General features: G+C 55.9%; 1 annotated feature.

Annotated features, from left to right (window-relative positions):
* Positions 551 to 1,160: an enhancer, noted in NCBI's record as "H3K4me1 hESC enhancer chr2:10366095-10366704 (GRCh37/hg19 assembly coordinates)". NCBI's record gives its function as "activates a minimal SCP1, AML or CMV promoter by ChIP-STARR-seq in primed H9 embryonic stem cells {active_cell/tissue: H9 hESC(primed)}" and the evidence as "EXISTENCE:reporter gene assay evidence [ECO:0000049][PMID:30033119]".

Raw genomic sequence — 1,607 nt, 5'->3', positions numbered from 1 at the left:
GGGTCTTTCTATATTGCCCTGGCTGGTCTCAAGCTCCTGGGCTCAAGCAATCCTCCTGCCTTGGCCTCCCAAAGTGCTGGGATTACAACCATGAGCCACTGCACCTGGCACATCCATTCTTTTATGAAGTGATGGGGAGAACGGATGGTGGGTCCTTATTTTTTAAAATTTCCTCCCTTGGTATGAAGGGAACTTAGCAACCCTCTGTGGCTCCTCCTCTGGCTTGCGGGAGAGGAGAGGCTACAAGAAAAGAGGCTTCAGCCTCACTGTTCCAGCTCTAGGCATATCTGACTGCAACCATCTGAGGTCCCAGGCTAGGCCCTTCCAGCTGGGTGTGTCCCAAATTCCTGTCCACAGAAGCCATCAGAGAGAATAAAATCTTGGTGTTTTAAGCCACTGTGTTTTGGGGTGATTTCTTACAGCGGTAGATAACCGGAACACCTCATCTGCTGTGACTCGTGGAACACAGGCAGAAATCCCAAGTCAGGCAACAGAGAGCCCTGGCGAGCCCTGGCTGGGCTGGGTCCCACTAATAAAGTGGGGTCAGAGCTCTGCCCGCTATGGGGGCCGCTGTGGCTGCCAGGACTCCCCATCAGAGTGCCACAGCCAAGGTGAGGGTGGATCAGGAGAGGACCCATAAGTCTTCACCAGGCATCAGGCCAAGAGCTAAGGGCAGGTGACGGAGACAGGGAGAGGCGTCCTCTCGAAGCCTCAGCTCACCCTGCAAAGGGAGGCGAAGAGCCATGGCCTGAATTTGACTTGTGAAACCAGAGGAAGTCACTGGACTCCGAAGCCCTGGAAAAGCTCAGGGAGCTAACAAGATTTTAATATTTCAAAAGCTTCCAGGTCGCAGCTGAAATGCTGCGTAAGAGGCTTGCAAAGTTCAGGGCCGTAAACAACTCAGCTGTGTACTCTGGAGGCTCAGAAGGCAGAGGCTACAGGCTGGGGAACAGCCACCTGGGCTTCTAGTGACTTCTGGACCTTCACATGCTGGGAACGTCTCGGGGAGTGACACAAAGTTGGGCAAGCCTGTGCTGGGGTCTTGGCACGGCTGCATCCTTGCACGGGGCAGAGCGGTGAGGCCCACTGAGAGCACAAAACCAAGACCCGTGTCAGCAGGGGCATTGGGAGGTAGGCTCTGGGTGCAAAGGGCCTATGGCCTCAGCCCAGGACCTCCCAGCCAGGCCACCAGAGTTGGGACAGAGGATAAAGGGAGGACTCAGCCTCAGAATAAAGCAGCCACCAGCAACTGCAATCAAGGGGGCTGGAGAGAGGGGAGAGGAGTGAGAGAGGCCGTGGCTAGCCCACCTGCAGGGCAAGGCAGCCTTGAATGAAGGGAGCTTGCTGCCTGACAGCTCCTGGGGCGGAGGGAGTTAACCCAGCCTGGCGGCCCAGGTGCAGGGAGGCCTGCTCAATGAACATCTGAACCTCTCTTGGGGTCACACCCTCCCTCCTTTGAAAGCATTCCTGTGCTTCTGGCTCAGGTGCTGCAGCTGGGAGGACATTGTTTCCAATTCAAAGGGAAGGTGTCTTTAGCGCTCTGTGATGACAGCCCAGCCTCAGGAGAGGGCAGGGGAGCAGGCTGGTGTTATTACTCCTTCCTTAAT

This window comes from Homo sapiens, chromosome 2, assembly GCF_000001405.40.
Source record: "Homo sapiens chromosome 2, GRCh38.p14 Primary Assembly".
NCBI lineage: Eukaryota > Metazoa > Chordata > Mammalia > Primates > Hominidae > Homo > Homo sapiens.
Note: the sequence above shows the minus strand (reverse complement) of the source record. Positions and strands in the feature narration are given on the sequence as shown.